Source organism: Homo sapiens, chromosome 3, assembly GCF_000001405.40.
Source record: "Homo sapiens chromosome 3, GRCh38.p14 Primary Assembly".
NCBI lineage: Eukaryota > Metazoa > Chordata > Mammalia > Primates > Hominidae > Homo > Homo sapiens.
The window spans coordinates 166,245,137-166,248,431 of NC_000003.12; the positions used below are offsets into that span (position 1 = coordinate 166,245,137).

At 30.2% G+C, this 3,295-nt stretch overlaps 1 annotated feature.

Moving 5' to 3' along the window:
* Positions 372 to 572: a silencer, noted in NCBI's record as "peak4905 fragment used in MPRA reporter construct". NCBI's record gives its function as "represses an SCP1 promoter by STARR-seq MPRAs in K562 erythroleukemia cells {active_cell/tissue: K562}" and the evidence as "EXISTENCE:reporter gene assay evidence [ECO:0000049][PMID:32103011]".

Here is a 3,295-nt window from a genome sequence, read left to right on the forward strand (position 1 = left end):
CAACTAATGCCCAAATATAAATGCCCAAAGGTTCTTCCCTGAATTATCAATAAACAACAACATGTATTTCTGAGCTGAATGTATCACTGTTTTCAACTTTTACGGAATACATTTTTTTTACAACGTATTTAAAAATCTAGTCTTATTCAGAATATTTTCTGACAAAAGAAACAAAAACTTGGGAGTGAAATATTCGCAAATGTCTTTATTTATCTACAGACTGTGGTATTTTCAAGACTTATTTCTCCCTGATAGTATAAAATACAAGTTAGTAATCAATTCTATAGAGATTATTAAATGTTAACTTTGTAAGGTATTTTCTGTTTAATAATTTTGGATTTTTTACCCACCATTTTGTCTTCCCAAGGATAGCCTATACATCAGAGCTATGTAAATAACGTATATCAGCGAGGAGGGAGTATCTGATTGAAAGCCATCTTTTGTTCTCTCACCATTTGTGGTCATAGACTGCTGAGCTCTTTTTTGTCCTTATCTTTTTATATTTATGGACACTCTTCTCAGTAATTCTTCATCCTTCTCAAAACAGTTGGATGTTCTCTCATCCTTTTCTCTGCAAAGAGGAAACCCAGGTGGTATCTTGGCACAGCAAACTTCCTTGAGATGTTTGATGATGATTGATGAAAAACAACAGGGAAAAAAAAAATAAATCAACCACTCTAAATAGTCTGCTTGACCAGGAATCCTTCTAAACACCCAGGGTTTCTATTGCATACAGTTTTCCTCCCACTGGGGATTAGGACCTTTGCAGGGACCAGTAACAAAGTAATGTTCTATAGCCTTTCTTTCTAAATCTGCATCATTTGCCCATGTAACATATATATAATAATGAGCATGAAGTATTTCATTTTCCCATATATTGTCTCCTAATGTATTGTTAAGAGTTAGCAGGCTCTGCATGTTCCACATCTTAGTTCTTAAACCCAAGTTTCCTTTTAGTGATACACATGATGAAGTATTTAGAATAAAGCAGAGTAATACATGTATTTCACTTATAAAAGTATACAAAGAAAAGGTTAAACAAAGTGATGTATAAATTAATAGACTTGTTATAAAGCAAGTGGAGTAAAAATTAGTGGTAAAATGTAGAAGCGTATGCAGTTGTTCACTGTAAAACTATTTTCAATGTTGCTTTATATTTGTAATTTTTAATACAAATTCTGGGAACATTTTTAAGAACAATAATCTATTCATAAGTGTCAAGTCTATTTTGGTGTGTAAAACAGCAATAATTTGGATGTTTGACGACCATCTTCTGAGAATGTATCGCTTTCCTGAGGCAATGCATGTCTCTACTTAATAAGCAAAAGTCACAGTACATGTATAATAAGAAAATGTGTGAAAAGTTACACAGTAGATTCTGGTTTAATAATTTAATACGATACTGTGATATTGGTATAAATTTATATATGAATGTGACATATAGATTCTATCTTATTTCTTAAAAATTAAGCAAATTACATTATGAAAAGCTTAGATTTCTGATTTCTGTTGTCTGTTTTTCTTCCACGTCAAGTTCTATATCATGAAAATACAACCATATTTTGGAATTCAGTATAGTAGATGGTATTCCTTTACTGTAGGGCATTCTATAGCTTTGTTTTAATACTCCAGTTTTTCTTACGTAAGTTGTTTACAAATAACTTTTGTAAATAATAATTAAAATGATAATTACAATTATGGTTATGAGACCACCCCTAATTATTTCTTAAATTTAGGATCCTAAGAAGTTAATTGAGTAAAACAATATGAATATTTTTAAGACCTGTGTTTGTACTGCAGTAATGATCTCAAAAGGAGTTTACACAAATTCACGTACAAAAAGTATATGAGTATTTGTTTCGCACATTTATCTAGTAACATAAAAGTATTCCTCTTGGTCAAATTCATGGGTAAAATGATTCATTATAAAATTGAATTTTTTAGTTTTTAGCAATGATAAACAAAATATTAAACATACATATTTGTTTACAGATTCTACACTTATGTCCTTTACCCAATTTTTAATTTAACAAATTTTTTATTAATCTATAAGAACAATTTGTATAATACATATTTTATGTTTATTACATATACATATGTTTATTACATATTATATAAATTTATTTAAGTAGTTGATTGCCTTTTACTTCTGTTTGTGTTTCTTTGAGGACTGTAGAATCTTTTGAGTAATACATATATAAATTTATACAATTTACATTTATATTTAGAAACTGTACCAACAACATATTATCTATATATATCTATGAGTAAAAATTTTTAGAAATAGTTAATCTGTCATTTGGTAAAATTCTTCCTTACAGCTTTATGTCACAAATTCATTTTGAAATAATTCTTTTTTACCTATTTTGTGAAACTAAATCACTGGCTATATGTTCAGATTCACCTCAAATATATCTTGGAAGTCATTAGTTTTATGCCAAGATTGGAACAGACATATAATAAGTACTCTTCTGATATAATTTCAAGGTATTTTTACATTATCCTTACTGGAATAGTGATTGCATAGTATACTAATTTTCTGATAACCTGATTTTTCCAAGATTTATTTTACATATATAAACTAAAATTCAAAAACTGAAGCTTTGTATTTTTAATGACATCTTGGAAGCCAAGAACTAGGATTTGGAAAAGAAAGCTATCCCTTTTTATTGTTATTTCTCTTTTAACTTCCTGTTAGGAATAAATAGCCAATTGAGTCAAGATATATTTCTTTCTCACACTACAAATCTATTTAATATAGGTATTTTTATATTAGTTCTTTTACATGTCATTTTTACACAAGAACCCAGAGTGATAAAAAAAACAAAACAAAACAAAACAAAAAACATTTCAGATGATCTGAAGTATTGCCAGTGATATGGTCTGGCTATATCCCCACCCAAATCTCATCTTGACTGAAGCTCCCACAATTCCCATGTGTTGTGGGACGGACCTGGTGGGAGGTAATTGAATCATGGAGGTGGGTCTTTTCCATGCTATTTTCATGATAGTGAATTAGTCTCATGAGATACAGTGGGTTAATAAAGGGAAATTCCCCAGCACAAGTTCTCTTTTCTTGTCTGCCACCATGTGAGACATGCCTTTCACCTTTTGCCATGATTGTAAGACCTTTCCAGCCATGTGGAACTGTGAATCCATTAAACCTCTTTCTTTTGTAAATTGCCCAGTCTCAGGTATGTCTTTATCAGTAGTGTGAAAAGAGACTAATACAGTAAATTGCTACCAGTAGAGTGGGGTTCTGCTGAAAAGATACCAAAAAATGTGAAAGCAACTT